This window comes from Homo sapiens, chromosome 6, assembly GCF_000001405.40.
Source record: "Homo sapiens chromosome 6, GRCh38.p14 Primary Assembly".
In the NCBI taxonomy this organism is placed as follows: domain Eukaryota; kingdom Metazoa; phylum Chordata; class Mammalia; order Primates; family Hominidae; genus Homo; species Homo sapiens.
This window is the reverse complement of record NC_000006.12, coordinates 151328590-151343880: the sequence shown is the minus strand read 5'-3', so window position 1 is coordinate 151343880 and position 15291 is coordinate 151328590. Positions and strand designations below refer to the sequence as shown.

The 15291-nt window shown below is 45.4% G+C and overlaps 1 protein-coding gene across 5 annotated transcripts in view, besides 1 other annotated feature; it reads right to left on the bottom strand.

Moving 5' to 3' along the window:
- Positions 1 to 15291, bottom strand: part of AKAP12 (A-kinase anchoring protein 12) — a 118593-nt gene that overhangs the window by 14679 nt on the left and 88623 nt on the right. For 2 of the 5 annotated variants that reach the window (XM_047419579.1, NM_001370346.1), the window contains exon 1: positions 2095 to 2175. The exons of the other annotated variants lie outside the window; for them this stretch is intronic. Coding sequence is in view for 1 of the 2 variants with exons in the window: in NM_001370346.1 (NP_001357275.1) it covers positions 2095 to 2098 (4 nt within the window). In the remaining variant the exon portion in view is untranslated. Of the gene's footprint in view, positions 1 to 2094; positions 2176 to 15291 lie in introns of those variants that run through there. 5 annotated transcript variants of the gene reach the window in all.
- Positions 2002 to 2519: an enhancer, noted in NCBI's record as "H3K27ac-H3K4me1 hESC enhancer chr6:151662497-151663014 (GRCh37/hg19 assembly coordinates)". NCBI's record gives its function as "activates a minimal SCP1, AML or CMV promoter by ChIP-STARR-seq in naive H9 embryonic stem cells {active_cell/tissue: H9 hESC(naive)}" and the evidence as "EXISTENCE:reporter gene assay evidence [ECO:0000049][PMID:30033119]".

Here is a 15291-nt window from a genome sequence, read left to right as displayed (position 1 = left end):
ATAAACTGACACTGTGATGAATTTGTTTATAGTTAAATCCAAAGGCTTCCTTAAGTGTATTTCCATGAACTATTTCTTTTTTCTTTTTTTCTTTTTTTGAACCAGTCTTCGCTCTGTCACCCACGCTGGAGTGCAGTGGCTCGATCTCAGCTCACTGCAACCTCCGCCTCCTGGGTTCAAGCGATTCTCCTGCCTCAGCTTCCCAAGTAGCTGGGATTACAGGTGGCTGCCACCACGCTCGGCTAATTTTTGTATTTTTTGTACAGATAAGGTTTCACCATGTTGGCCAGGCTGGTTTCAAACTCCTGACCTCAGGTGATCCGCCTGCCTCAGCCTCCCAAAGTGCTGTGATTACAGGCGTGAGCCACCGTGCCTGGCGGTCACAAAAGAACTTTTTGCAAACACTTCTAATGCCATTTAAGAGATGTGACTTTCCTTTTGAAAAAGTTGGATAAAATAATTGGAAATATACTAGAGAAAAAAGAAAAATTCCAGTAACAAACTCTATTCTAGTATGATTTCACTAGTACAGAATACAAACATAAATTACATATCCTGCCAGCAAGCATGTGATTAAAAACAAACACTCATCAACCTCCCTGGAATCAGAAAATGCAGAGACATGTTGCTAATATAGGAGTAGAAAGCTGGTGTCACACAACCATTTCCCCCTCACTATTTTCCCTCCACTCTTAAATCTGTGTTTCCATTGGAAACACTTCTGCTTCATTCTGAAAGGGCCGACATGTTTATAGTCAAAACTAGGGAGATAAAGGTTCGTGAACCAGCTGCCAGCAGGCAGAACAAAACAGCTATTGGGCCGGGCACTATGGCTCACACCTGTAATCCCAGCACTTTGGGAGGCTGAGGCAGGCGGTTTACTTGAGGTCAGGAGTTCAAGACCACGCTGGCCAAAGTGGTGAAACCCCATCTCTACTAAAAATACAAAAATCAGTCGTGCATGGTGGCGCATGCCTGTAGTCTCAGCTACTTGGGAGGCTGAGGCAGGAGAATCACTTGAACCCGGGAGGTGGAGGTTGCAGTGAGCCGAGATCACACTACTGCACTCCAGCCTGGGCGACTGCCATCAGTATCTAAGGTAGCTGTTACTGAACAGCTATTGATAGTTCAGTACAGCTTAACAATAATCAAATGCTCTCTTTATATAGAGTAAGTGAGTTATGAGTTGAACACATAATAAAATGTATATAGAAAAATTTTAAGTTGTAGCTGGTCAACTAGTCTGCAGTCTCTTTTAACATAAGTAATCCTAAGAGCTACAATTGTCAGAACAATCTTCGGGCGCCTCCATGCTTTGTGCTTCAGCCTGATTTCGGCCTCCACGTACCCTCTGTGCTGGGGCAATCTACTCACTCCATACAAGGTACCTGCTAAGCAAAGCCTCCTAAAATACCGCTTCTATCACATCAACAGGCTGTGGACTCCTAATGGCTTTAGGGCCTAGAGAATAGTCTTCTAACCTACCTAGTCTGGCAGGTACCTATATCTGTACCCGCGCTGTTGAGATCCTGACCCCAAAACACATGCGATCGTGTGGCCACCCACTGGGCTTGGAACCCGCATTGAAGCCTAGACCGTACTTTCCAGCCTGCCCCATCACTGGGCTTCACACTCCCCATGGCGCAGCCCAAGTGTTGAGGCCTGTTCCATTCTGTTCTGCGTCCCACACTTTGCCGGCCTCCAGGCCTTACAGTGAGGGCAACTTCGCTAAATCCTGGTGACTTTTTGAGGCCTGGGTCATCCTCGACCTGCCCTGCCGCCCACCTCCCCAGCTGACCGCAGCCACAGCCATGTCCATTCCAACCCCCCGACTCCCCTTTCAAGCCAGAGTCTTCGGGGAGGTAGGCTGCTGGCGCAGAGCGTTTTGGCACCTGTCACGGGACCCAGAACGAGGCCTTTCCTTTCTAGGGCTGGGGGCTGGGGCAAGATCAAGGGCAGCGGGCGGCTCTACAGCCTGGGCTGGGATGCCACGGGCGCAGGCCCTTCCCGACCTGTCCCTGCGCGCCTTGGCCAGTAGAGAGGCTTTCCCAAGCCTGGGACGGGAAGGAAGGAGGCTGGAAAACCCACACACACCCATCTCGGGCCGGTCCTAAGGGACAGTTGGTGGCCCTCGGGATTCCGTGTCCGCCATCGCTGCGGGGCGAACTGCCGCTTGGGTGCACGTGCTACTCACTGCAGAGTTTACTCCACCAGGGCATGGCGCGCGCAGCCCGCCGGCAGGGGCAGCCCAACAGCCGCCCGTGAGGCCCAGCGCGCCCCTGCCGGCTGCCATAGCTCGCGAAAGCCTGGGCCCGGGAAGCCAGCCGCGAACATCACAAAAGACGCAGCCTCCCCGCGCCCGGCGCCAGCCCTCGACCTCCCAGGAAACCCCCGGGGGTCCTGCGGACCGCCCCAGTGGGGTCTCTTCAAACCCAAGCCTGCTGAGGCCGAAAACCATCCTGCTAACCAACTGCCAAGCCGCCGCTGAACTTCCCTGACACTTAATTTAAAAGAAAAAGGGCCTCGAGGCCTGGCGCGGTGGCTCACGCCTGTAATCCCAGCACTTTGGGAGGCCAAAGCGGGCGGATCACCTGAGATCAGGAGTTAGAGACCAGCCTGGCCAACATGGTGAAACCTCATCTCTACTAAAAATACAAACAAATTAGCCGGGCGTGGTGGCACATGTCTGTAATCCCAGCTACTCGGGAGGCTGAGGCAGGAGAATCGGTTGAACCAGGGAGGCGGAGGTTGCAGTGAGCCGAGATCGTGCCACTGCATTCCAGCCTGGGAGACAGGGCAAGACTGTGTCAAAAAAAAAAAAAAGAAAAAAAAGAAACAAAAACAAACAAAAAGGACCTCGACAATGGAGAAATCTGGCAGGCACCACTTTAACCAAGTGATCAGACTTATCCTCGATAATGGAACAGATGTCATCGCGCTTCCTGATGTGAGGCACTCAGAAGGACAAGAATTCATCTTTGCAGCTCTGCTGATCAAAATGTTTAACGGCATCTAATCACGAGGAAACAATCAGATGAATCCACAATGAAGGACGTTCTGCAAAACAACTAGCCTGGCCTGAAATGTCAGTGTCACAGGACGAAAATCAAGCAAAAACACAATGGGGTTTTGTCTGGCAATGGCCAAGGCATGGTGGAACCTGCTCGTGGGTTTGGCTTGGTTGTAAAGAGCTTTAAGTTCTTGAGTATTCGCCCATGAGGCTATCAGTCAAGTTCCCATCACATTCGCCCATGAGGCTATCAGTCAAGTTCCCATCACAAAGCCATCACTTACAGAGCCTTATGGGCTAGAAGGTGGAGCTCACCTGCTCCCTCCAACTGGGACTTCAAAAATAGTCATCTGTGAGAACGCAAATGGACAGCCACTTGGGAGGACAGTCTGCGGTTTGTTTTCATACTGAACATACTCTTACCATATGATCTGGCAATCATGCTCCTTGGTATTCACCCAAATGAGTTGAAAATTTATGTCCACACAAAACATCTGCACACAGATGTTTACAGCAACTTTATGCATAATTGCCAAAACTTGGAAGCAATCAGATGTCCTTCAATAAGTGAGTGGATAAAGTATGGTATATCCAGACAACATAATACTATTCAGCACTAAAAAAAAAAAAAAAAACCACCGCTGGGCGCGGTGGCTCATGACTGTAACCCAGCACTTTGGGAGGCCGAGGTGGGTGGATCATGAGATCATGAGTTCAAGACCAGCCTGGCCAAGATGGTGAAACCCCGTCTCTACTAAAACAAACAAACAAACAAAAATTAGCCGGGCATTGTGGTGGGCACCTGTAATCCCAGCTACTCGGGAGGCTGAGGCAGAGAATTGCTTGAACCCGGGAGACGGGGCTCGCAGTGAGCTGAGATCGCGCCACTGCACTCCAGCCTGGGCAACAGAGCGAGACTCTGTCTCAAAAAAGAAAAAAAAAAAGAAAAATTAGTTATCAGGCCATGAAAATACACGGAGGGAACTTAAATGTATATAGCTAAGCAAAAGAAGACGCTCTGAGGAAGATACACAATGTATGATTCCAACTATATGACATTCTGAAAAAGACAAAACTTTGGAGACAGTAAAAAGAGCAGTGGCTGCCAGGGGTTGGGGGAGGAAGGGATGAATACATGAAGCACAGATGATTTTTATGGCAGTGAAGCCATTTTGCATGACACTGTAATGGTGGGTACACATCATTATGTATTGGCCCAAATCCACAGAATGTACACCACCAAGAGTGAGCCCTAATGTAAACTATGGACTTTGGGTGATAACCATGTGTCAGTGCAGGTTCATTGATTGTAACAAATGACCCATTCTGGTGGGGAATGTTGATAAGGGTTGGGGGAGGCTATGCAGACGTTGGGGCAAGGGACACATGGGAATTCTCCGAACTCTCCACTCAATTTTGCTGTGAACCTGAAACTGCTCTTAAAAACAGTCTTTTTAAAAACGGTCATATGACTTGACCAACGTCATATAGGTGTGTGGTATCTCAGGAGGGCCAAAGGCTGGCTGGGTAGTGCTTAGAGTGAAGGCACTAAAGGAGCAAAATACACAGTTTGTCTTTTTGAAAGAAAAGTCAATTTCATACACTTTTAAAGCATAAACATTCTTATTTTCCATAAATCATTACAACTTTTTATAGTTCATAAGCGCCACTTATGGCAAGAACAAGTATTTCGATATGTCAACTCCTACACTTAGATGGAAAAACTGCTTTATGTCTAATGTGGACAGCAATTTGAATTCTATTTCAGTGTGAAAGGCAGAGTTTATTCACAGTTACAGTCATGCATCGTTTTGAAAAGAGTGCATAAATCCTACCCACCCACTCACAGATAGTGATTCAAAAGATCGGCCCGAGCATCCATCAAAGTGAAAGCTGGATAAAGCAAGAATCAATGGGTGCTAAAGTGCTAAATGGAGGAGAGGAGAGGATATTTACATGCTTATTGTTGAAAGGGAGGGAGAAAAGCCCAATTCTACAGTGGAGAAATTGGAAAACACCTTAACATCAGCCTACAAGGGACAGATGGACACCGCGTGCAATACCCTGAGAAGGACACAACATCACCTCTGCAGGATTCTGGCTTAGAATGAGTAACCTATGGCCGGGTGCAGCGGCTCACGCCTGTAATCCCAGCACTTTGGGAGTGCAAGGTAGACGGATCACCTGGAGTCAGGAGTTCGAGACCAGCCTGGCCAATATGGTGAAACCCAGTCTCTAAACACAAAAATTAGCCGGGCGTGGTGGTGGGTGCCTGTAGTCCCAGCTACTCAGGAAGCTGAGGTGGGAGAATCGCTTAAACCCGGGAGGCGGAGGTTGCAGTAAACCCAGATCACGCCACTACACTCCATCCTGGGCAACAGAGCAAGACTCCATCTCGGGGAAAAAAAAAAAAAATGAGTAACCTAACCTAAATTGATATAGGCAAAAGAAACATCAAATAAGGAATGAGTAGAAACGGGGAGGGAACTTATACTTTGAACATATCAAAGTCTAAAAGACAAAAGCTATAGAAGTCTTCCAGATTAAAAGAAGCTAAAAAGACACGACAACACAAAATCTCTGACCCTAGGGTGGATATTGTAATGCAAAGAGGAATGCTTTAAAATGGACATAATTAGATTAGCTGACAAAATTAGAAGCAGATTATAGAAAAGTTCTGTAATAACGTAAATGTATGATATTGATAACTGTCAATAACTGTACTGTGGTTATGAAAGGGAATATCCCTATTCTTGGAGAATACACACTGAAATATTTAGGAGTAAAGGACCATGATGTATATAACTTACTTTCAAATGCTTCCCTAATTTTTTGAGACAAGGTGTCCCTCTATCGCCCAAGCAGGAGTACCATGGCGTCATCTTGGCTCACTGCAGCCTCCGCTTCCAGGGCTCAAGCGATTCTCCAGCCTCAGCCTCCCGAGTAGCTGGGACTACAGGTGTGAGCCACCAACTCCTGGCTAGTTTTTGTATTTTTAGTAGACACAGGGATTTTGCCATGGCTGGCCTTGAACTCCTGAGCTCAAAGCAATCCGCCTCAGTCTCCCAAAGTGCTGGGATTACAGGTGTGAGCCACTGTGCCCAGCCTTCTCCAGTGAATTTATTAATATATCTCATACCTACATGACTTATAACAGAAACCCGTGGACTGATGTTTGTTTTGTTTTCCCAACAAAAAGAAAGTAAATATAGCAAGCGAGGGAAAATGTTGACAATATCCCACTATTTGGGATAGGTGAATCTGAGTAAAGGGTATGGGTGTTCTCTGTATTCATTTTAGTTTTCCAACTTTCTGTATGTTTACAGTTATCTTTCTTTCTTTCTTTTTTTTTTTTTTTCGAGACGGAAACTCTTATTGCCCAGCCTGGAGTGCAATGGCGCGATCTCGGCTCACTGCAACCTCCGCCTCCTGGGTTCAAGCGATTCTTCTGTCCTAGCCTCCCAAGTAGCTGGGATTACAGGCGCCCGCCGCGACGCCCGGCTAATTTTTTGTATTTTTAGTAGAGACGGGGTTTCCACATCTCTACTAAACTGTAGAGACTGGTCTCGAACTCCTGACCTCAGGTGATCTACCCACCTTGGCCTCTCAAAGTGCTGGGATTACAGGTGTGAGCCACCGGACCTGGCCTGAAGTTATTTTTTTTAAAAAATCACTTGGAAGAATGCACTCGGAATTGCAGGTAACTACTAAAAATTATAGAAAACAACAAAATATAGAGTGATGATTTACCCAACCTGATTTTAGAGGAGGCTATCCGATATTTGCTTCACATTACATACCATAATATAAATTTTATCTACGTATTAAACAACAAGAAAACGACTTAACTTTCCCCCACCAAAGAGAGAAAAAAAATTCAGGCAGAGGGGAAGAAAATTAAAGAGCAGAAGTTCTGGGGACAGACTGGTGTTTAAATTTTAGCTGTACCACTTACTAGCACCGGGTCCTTGGGCAAAATCTCTGTTCTTAGACATTTCTCAAAAGAAGACATACAAACGGCAAAGAAACATACAAAAACATTCTCAGCATCACTAATTATCAGAGAAATGCAAATTAAAACCACAATCTTGCACCAGTCAGAATGGCTATTTATTATTTATTTATTTTGAGACAGAGTCTCGCTCTGTCGCCCAGGCTGGAGTGCAGTGGTGTGATCTCAGTTCCACTGCAACCTCCACCTCCTGGGTTCAAGCAATTCTGTCTCAGCCTCCCGAGTAGCTAGGATTACAGCCACATGCCACCGCGCCTGGCTAATTTTTATATTTTTAGTAGAGACGGGGTTTCACCATGTTGGCCATGTTGGTCTTGAACTGCTGACTTCAGGTGATCCACCTGCCTCAGCCTCCCAAAGTGCTGGGATTATAGATGTGAGCCACTGTGCCTAGCCAAAATAGCTATTATTAAAAAGTCAAAAAACAACAGATGTTCGCACAGATGTGGAGAAAAGGGAATATTTATACATTGCCAGTGGGAATGTAAATTAGTAAGAGAGCTATAGAAAACAATATGGAGATTTCTCAAGGAACAAAAAACAGAACTACCATTCCACACAGCAATCCCATTATTTGGCATCTACCCAAGAGAGATAAAATCAGTTTATCAAAAAGATGCCTGCACTTGTATGTTTCTTGCAGCACTATTCACACTAGCAAAGTCATGGAACCAACCCAAGTGTCCATCAAAGTTTGACTGGATAAAGAAAATGTGGTCCATATACACCATGGAATACTATGCAGCCATGAAAAAGAAGGAAATCATGTCCTTTGCAGCAACATGGAAGGATCTGGAGGCCATTATCCTAAGTAAAATAACTCAGAAACAGAAAGTAAAATGCTGCATATTCTCATAAATGGTAGCTAACCAATGAGTACACAGGGACATAAAGATGGAAATAATAGACACTGGGTACTCTAAAAGGGAGGGAGGGTGGAAGGGAAGTGAGAGTTGAAAAATAGTATTGAGTACAATGTTCACCACTCCGGTGACGGGTACACTAGAGCCCAAACCTCACCATTATGCAATATATCCAGGTAACAAACCTATATATGTATCCCCTGAATCTAAACGAAAAATAAGGCCAGGTGCAGTGGCTCACGGGGCTGTAATCCCAGCACTTTGGGAGGCCGAGGCAGGAGGATCGCTTTGGGGTCAGGAGTCTGAGACCAGCTTTGGGCAACACAGTCAAACCCCGTCTCTACTAAAAATACAAAAGTTAGCTGGGCGTGGTGGTGCATCTTATAATCCCAGCTACTTGAGAGGCTGAGGCAGGAGGATTGCTTGAACTTTCGAGGTGGAGGTGGCAATGAGTGGAGATCGTGCCACTGCACAGGTGACAGAGTGAGTCTCCATCTCAAAAACAAACAAACAAACAACAGTAAAAATAAAAATAAAATGAAAATCTCTGTTCTTAGTGTCCTCACCTATAACATAAGTCACTTACATTATAGGTGAGGACACTAAGGCTGGTTATGAGGATGAAGTATCAGTTGGCTTTCTATAAAAATAACAAAAACTTTAATATTTTTGCTTGTTTTCTTCAGAATAGAACGACTTATTTTACTTTTTGCCAATTCCAAACATAATCAGTATAAATTGTAGAAGACTTTAAAATACAGAGAATAGGGAAAATTTTTCATAAGTACAACATCCAGATAATCACTATTTGTGTTGTTTTCTGAATAAAGTCTTCAAAACTAAGACCTAATGGCTGCACAATTTGTTTTTCTGTCCCCATGGTTAGATAATGTCCAATTTTCACCATCACGCTTTGTCAAAAACATTCCCGAGTATAAAATCATTGTCCAAATGCCTGAATGAGTTTTGGACAGAAGAGGGCAGTATTGAACAGCTTTCAGCTCTGCTGAACCAGAAAGCTCTTGATTTTCAGGACCAGAAGTCACTGAAAATCGCCAATACAAAATGTTGAAGGCCGGGCGCGGCGGTTCACGCCTGTAATCCCAGCACTCTAGGAGGCCGAGGCGGGCAGATCACGAGGTCAGGAGATCAAGACCATCCTGGCTACCACGGAGAAACCCCGTCTCTACTAAAAAAATACAAAAAATCAGCCGAACATGGTGGCGGGCGCCTGTAGTCCCAGCTACTCGGGAGGCTGAGGCAGGAGAATGGCGTGAACCCGGGAGGCGGAGCTTGCCGTGAGCCGAGATCGCGCCACTGCACTCCAGCCTGGGCGACAGAGCAAGACTCCGTCTCAAAGAAAAAAAAAAAAAGTTGAGATGCACTCTTTTTTATTTTTTTGAGACGGAGTCTTGCTCTGTCGCCCAGGCTGGAGTACAGTGGCATGATGTCAGCTCTCTGCAGCCTCTGCCTCCAGGGTTCCAGCGATTCTCCTGCCTCAGCCTCCTGAGTAGCTGGGACTACAGGCACTCACCACCACGCCCCGCTAAATATTTCTATCTTTAGTAGAGATGGGGTTTAGCCATGTTGGCCAGGCTGGTCTCGAACTCCTGACCTCAGGTGATCCACCTGCCTCGGCCTCTGAAAGTGTTGGGATTACAGGCGTGAGCCACCGCTCCCAGCTGAGATGCACTTTCAAATCTTGTGAAGCTGAATGTGACATTGTGCCTATTTTTTACCACCCTGACTTCCTGCATCAACATTTCAAGGGGAGAAAAGGAGCACATAATAGTATGTCTCAAGTTAACTCCCTATCTTCTAGTTTTCTTTATTTGCACCATGTAAAGATGCAGATCCCTTTTCTGTTTTTGTTTTGTGTTTGTTTTTGTAGAGATGGAGGAACTGGCTATGTTGCCCAGGCTGGTCTTGAACTCCTGGCTTCAAGTGATCCTCCCACCTCAGCCTCCCAAAGTGCTGGGATTACAGACATAAGCCACAGAGCCTGGCCAGATGCAGGTCCTTTACCCCAAGTATGGGTCAAAGGTGGCCAGGACCCTTCTTCCTGTGCTGACCTCCCCCTCCTCACCTCCTCTTCTTCACTTTTTTCGCTTTCCCCAGCCCAACTGTACATGACACACCAAAATCACCCCCACATTTCCCAGGTTCTTGCTGCAGGTAAAGAGTCCCAAACAAGACCACCATCATTCCCTTCTAGTTTGTGGTGAGCAGAAACCTTTCATTTTTTTTTTTTTTTTTGAAGTCACAGTCTTGCTCTGTTGCCCAGGCTAGAGTGCAGTGGTGCGATCTCGACTGCAGCCTCCACCTCCCGGGTTCAAGCAATTTTCCTGCCTCAGCCTCCCGAGTAGCTGGGACCACAGGCGCCCGCCACCATGCCCAGCTAATTTTTAGTAGAAACAGAGTTTCGCCATGTTGGCCAGATTGGTCTCAAACTCCTGACCTCAGGTGATCCGCTCATGTCGGCCTCCCAAAGTGCTGGGATTACAGGCGTGAGCCACTGCGCCCGGCCTGAGAAAGTATTTTTACATGCTCCCTGCATGCTGGTTGTGAATGAGTTAAAGACTGTAGCTTAGTGAACACAGCGGGAGGCTGTTAAATGCATTATAAAATAGCCTAAAAGATGTGGGGGCGGCAGGCAGGAGAGGCTCAGACCAGAGGCTCAACCCACTCCCACTGCTGGGAGTGAAGGGAGTGATTGATAAGAGGCCTCTAAAAATAATGGAGGGGGCTTCCAGGACAGGCAGCCAGTGCTAACCCGTGCAGGCCTGGCACAGTGGAATCCATTCACAACCACCCTTCATCACAGCTTTCCGTTAGGGCGCTTCTTTTAATTCAAAACTCCTATGGAATTTTCATCTGCCTTAGATTTGTCCGACTGGCTACAAAGAGGAAAACCAAAAAGCTCCATCTTTGATTTGGGATCACTGATATGTGGATGTACTTTTTGGTGCCCCTAAAACCTCCTCTGATTTTGGAGTGGTCTTTTCCACACAATGTATAGTTTTTTAACTCATGTGTGATTGAATGACCCCGCCATTTTTAAACACGCTGCTATCCGCCCAAGTCTCTCCCATGCCCAGAAAGCCCAGTCGTGGTGCTCACGTACTCACTGGTGCTGAGGTTCGGCCAGAAACAATTCCAGCATCCCACTAGGTCACAAAGATGGCCAAAATGTTAAAGGGAGTGGTCGGTGTGTCCCCCGTAGAAGCCTCTGGAGCCCGAATTCACAGGCACCTCCGTCTTCGTACTGTCCTGCTAGTCACTGGTCTTTTCCCACCCTGTAGACACTTCAAAGCGCAGGAAAAAGACTAATCCTTCCAACAGGCCACATACCCATGTGTGATACAGTCTTGTATTGACAGGGCTTTCGACATCAACCATTAGTGAAACAACATCATCCATGCCTTGTTTCTCAAGAGAATATTACTACAGAAACCAAATATTTCTATACCCTTCTTCTGGGTGGAGACACCTAATCACATGCTTGTGTGAGACAGGGTCAATATGCTGAAAACATTACTTGGAAAAGATATGATAATTTTAAAGAAGATGTAGAGAAAGCTTTCATTCACTTAATTTTCTGAATATACCCAAGAAGGAGGGATCTCTGCATGGATATAGTGCATATAAGATGCAGGGCTGGGCCGGGCGCGGTGGCTCACGTCTGTAATCCCAGCACTTTGGGAGGCCGAGGCGGGCGGATCACGAGGTCAGGAGATCGAGACCATCCTGGCTAACACGGTGAAACCCCATCTCTACTAAAAATACAAAAATTTAGCCAGATGTGGTGGCGGGCGCCTGTAATCCCAGCTACTCAGGAGGCTGAGGCAGGAGAATCATTTGAACCTGGGAGGCGGAGGCTGCAGTGAGCTGAGATCATGCCACTGCACTCCAGCAGCCTGGCAACAGAGCGAGACTGTCTCAAAAAAAAAAAAAAAAAAAAACAGACCCAGAACTGGACGTGCTACTCAGTAGGGTCCCAGCTACTTGGGAGGCTGAGACAGGAGGATCGTTGAGCCCAGGAGTTCCAGGCTGCAGTGAGCTATGATCGTGCTACTAGTACTCCAAAACAAAACTTTTTTTTTTTTTTTTTGAGACGGAGTCTCGCTCTGTCGTCCAGGCTGGAGTGCGTTGGTGCAATCTTGGCTTACTGCCAGCTCCACCTCCCAGGTTCATGCCATTCTCCTGCCTCAGCCTCCCGAGTAGCTGGGACTACAGGTGCCTGCCACCACGCCCGGCTAATTTTTTGTATTTTTAGTAGAGATGGGGTTTCACCATGTTAGCCAGGATGGTCTCGATCTCCTTACCTCGTGATCTACCCACCTCGGCCTCCCAAAGTGCTGGGATTACAGGCGTGAGCCACCGCACCCGGCCAAAACTTTTAAAAAGATGCAGTAAAAATAAAGGCTGGATATGGATGAAGCTACTTCATGCTACAACATTCCGGAAGGAAAAATAACTTGAAGTTATCACTGCCAAGCGAGACCTTGGGTAGGCTTTTGCTTTATGTTTTTCTAAGATAAATGAAAGTTATCCTTAATAATAAGTGTGGAAAGTGAAATAGAGGAGATACTTCCTGGACTGAACACCTCTCACCCTATTTTTAAGAGTATAAACTATTCTCAATTACAACATTATAAAAAAAATTATAACACTTATTCAATAATAACAAACTAGGTGCTTTTTAATATTTTAAACAGCTTTGTCATAACAAGCCCCTTCAAGGTTAAAAAAAAAAGTCCTATGGAATATTAACGGAGTCAAATAAATGTGAAAATATATGAAAAGTTACATCTTTAGTGATGTAGTAAGAAATCAAAACTTGAAATCATTTCATGTACAAAAACCTCACTTGGGCCAAGAATTACTGAAGTGTTTCACACTGAGGTGTTGTTACCTGCTATTAACCTGGGTTTATCTCCAGATAAATGTTCTGTGAATCCCGATTTATAAAATCAGTCTCCAGGTCTATAACGTGTATGTGCAAATACACATTTTCCTTTCGAAAATCTCCATAATCTCCCCGTCCCCAAAGCTGCAAACGCTCCATGATCCCAAGAAGGGCTAAGCTACAGTGGTCCCTGCTGGCTATGTGTTCCCCATCCGCAAGCTCCATATAATGTAGAGACAGCCCGTGTGTTCAAAACCTGGAGCATCATCTTTTTTTTCTCACTTTTCCAAATACTTAGCGATTAAGAGATAAATTATAAATTGTTTTCTTTTAGAGGCTTAAAAGAAAAAAAAACTTTAAAGGAATATGTTGATTATATACTACAAAATATTAATGTTTTTATCCAAAACTTAGCTATCAGGTTTCAGTGACACCAGCACCATCATTTTTGGTTGAGAAAAAGAAGTACGATACTGCAGAAACGACATGTTCATTTTTCAGGCTGAGAATCACCAGTGCTCCCCATCCCCAGGCACATCAGGACGGCTTACAGTAACATCTGGAACTAGTTATCTTTCCCCCAAGATTCGTAGCATTGTCCTGGAATTTTTCCAGGAATTCTCTGCATTCTAAGTCCATCCCTTATAGGCTACACACCCAATCTCCCTTGTTCTAAAGCTCATTAACCAGAAAACCTCCAAGCGGAGATATATGCAAATTCATAAAAGCAAGGATCCCATACTGGAGCATATAGGTGACATCATCATTGGACCTGGTGTGTTTTTTGGGGGGTGGGGTAGGGACAGGGTCTTGCTCTGTTGCTCAGGCTGGAATTCAGTGGTGCAAGTGATTCTCCTACCTCAGCTTCCCAAGTGACTGGGACTACAGGCATGTGCCACCATGCACAGCTAAATCTTTAATTTGTTGTAGAGAGGAGGTCTCCCCTACGTTGACCATGCTGGTCTCAAACTCCTGGACTCAAGCGATCCACCTGCCTTGGCCTCCCAAAGTGCTGGGATTACAGGCATAAGCCACCGTGCCCAGTCCCAATCCCTGGTCTTGATATTGATGTTTCACGATCCCTTAAACATCTGGGCAGGCATGTAAGAATGTGGGTCACTAAACAAGTATTAGCATCTTCACAACGAGAAAGAGGTCTTTTGCAAGGTACTCTACAGTTATGCTCTTTCTAGCTGTGAAACCTTGGGTAATTATCAAATCATGAGAAACTTACTTTTATGATAGAAATGGGGTTACAGAACCACTTTTTGCAGGATTATTGTGAGGAATACATGATAATGTCCACAAAGTGCTGAACAACACCTGCCAGACTAGGCACTCAGGAAGTGGTAGTTATTAATCCAGCAGTTGTGAAAGTATCAATTTCGTGTCTCCAAAGTCTCTTGACAAGGAATCTGTCTCCATAGCAGATGTGAAACACCCATGTGCAAGGTATTTTTTTCTCTTGTAAAAATTATTTGCATCGGAAAGTGCATTATAAATAATCTAGAACTAACATGAACGTTGGAGGATTGATTCTTCCCCAGTTTCTACTTTAAAGAATAATGTCCCTGTTTCTCATGATACTTCACAGTTTGCAATGTATCAATATTATCAGTTTCAGTAATGTGGGTGTTAGAGAAAAGCGAAAAGATACTTGCTTAATTCAAAAAGCATTTTTTTGGCCGGGCGTGGTGGCTCACACCACTTTGGGAGGCTGAGGCGGGTGGATCACCTGAGGTCAGGAGTTCAAGACCAGCCTGGCCAACATGGCGAAACCTCGTCTCTACTAAAAATACAAACATTAGCGGGGCGTGGTGGCAGGTGCCTGTAATCCCAGCTGCTTGGGAGGCTGAGGCAGGGAGAACTGCTTGAACCCGGGAGGTGGAGGTTGCAGTGAGCTGAGATCGCGCCACTGCACTCCAGCCTGGGTGACAGAGTGAGACTTCATCTCAAAAAAAAAGGCATTTTTATGCTGGCACGCCATTTACAGTTGAGTGGGGAAGGGGATGATCATCGTGTCACATCACTTATTTCTTGTCTCAAAGCTAACTTATTGCAAATGAGATGTGAGAGAAAGAGACCCCAAGAATGGCAACAGTATGTAATGTGAATAAGCAATCATTTCATAATTCAATTTCCACTGCATTCATTTTAGTGGTTTGTGTAAACTGGGTTGTGTGTGTGGCAGGGGGGAGGGGGATAATAGTATTAAGTGACAGCTTTTCCTTACTTTCAGAAATGCAAACTTGTTCCTAAGTAGTTCCTACAAAATGCCATCAGTCCTGTTAATGAATTGTAAAATTTAAACACAGGCCTCCTAAAATAACATAGTACTAAAGATAACTACAATAACCTTCTATAGTATTTAAGTGAATAATCCCAAAGATGCAAAGACCTTTAAGATTTCATTAAACCTTACTGTCAATTTAATTTTTTTTTTTTTTTTTGAGACGGAGTCTTGCTCTGTCACCCAGGCTGGAGTGCAGTGGCACAA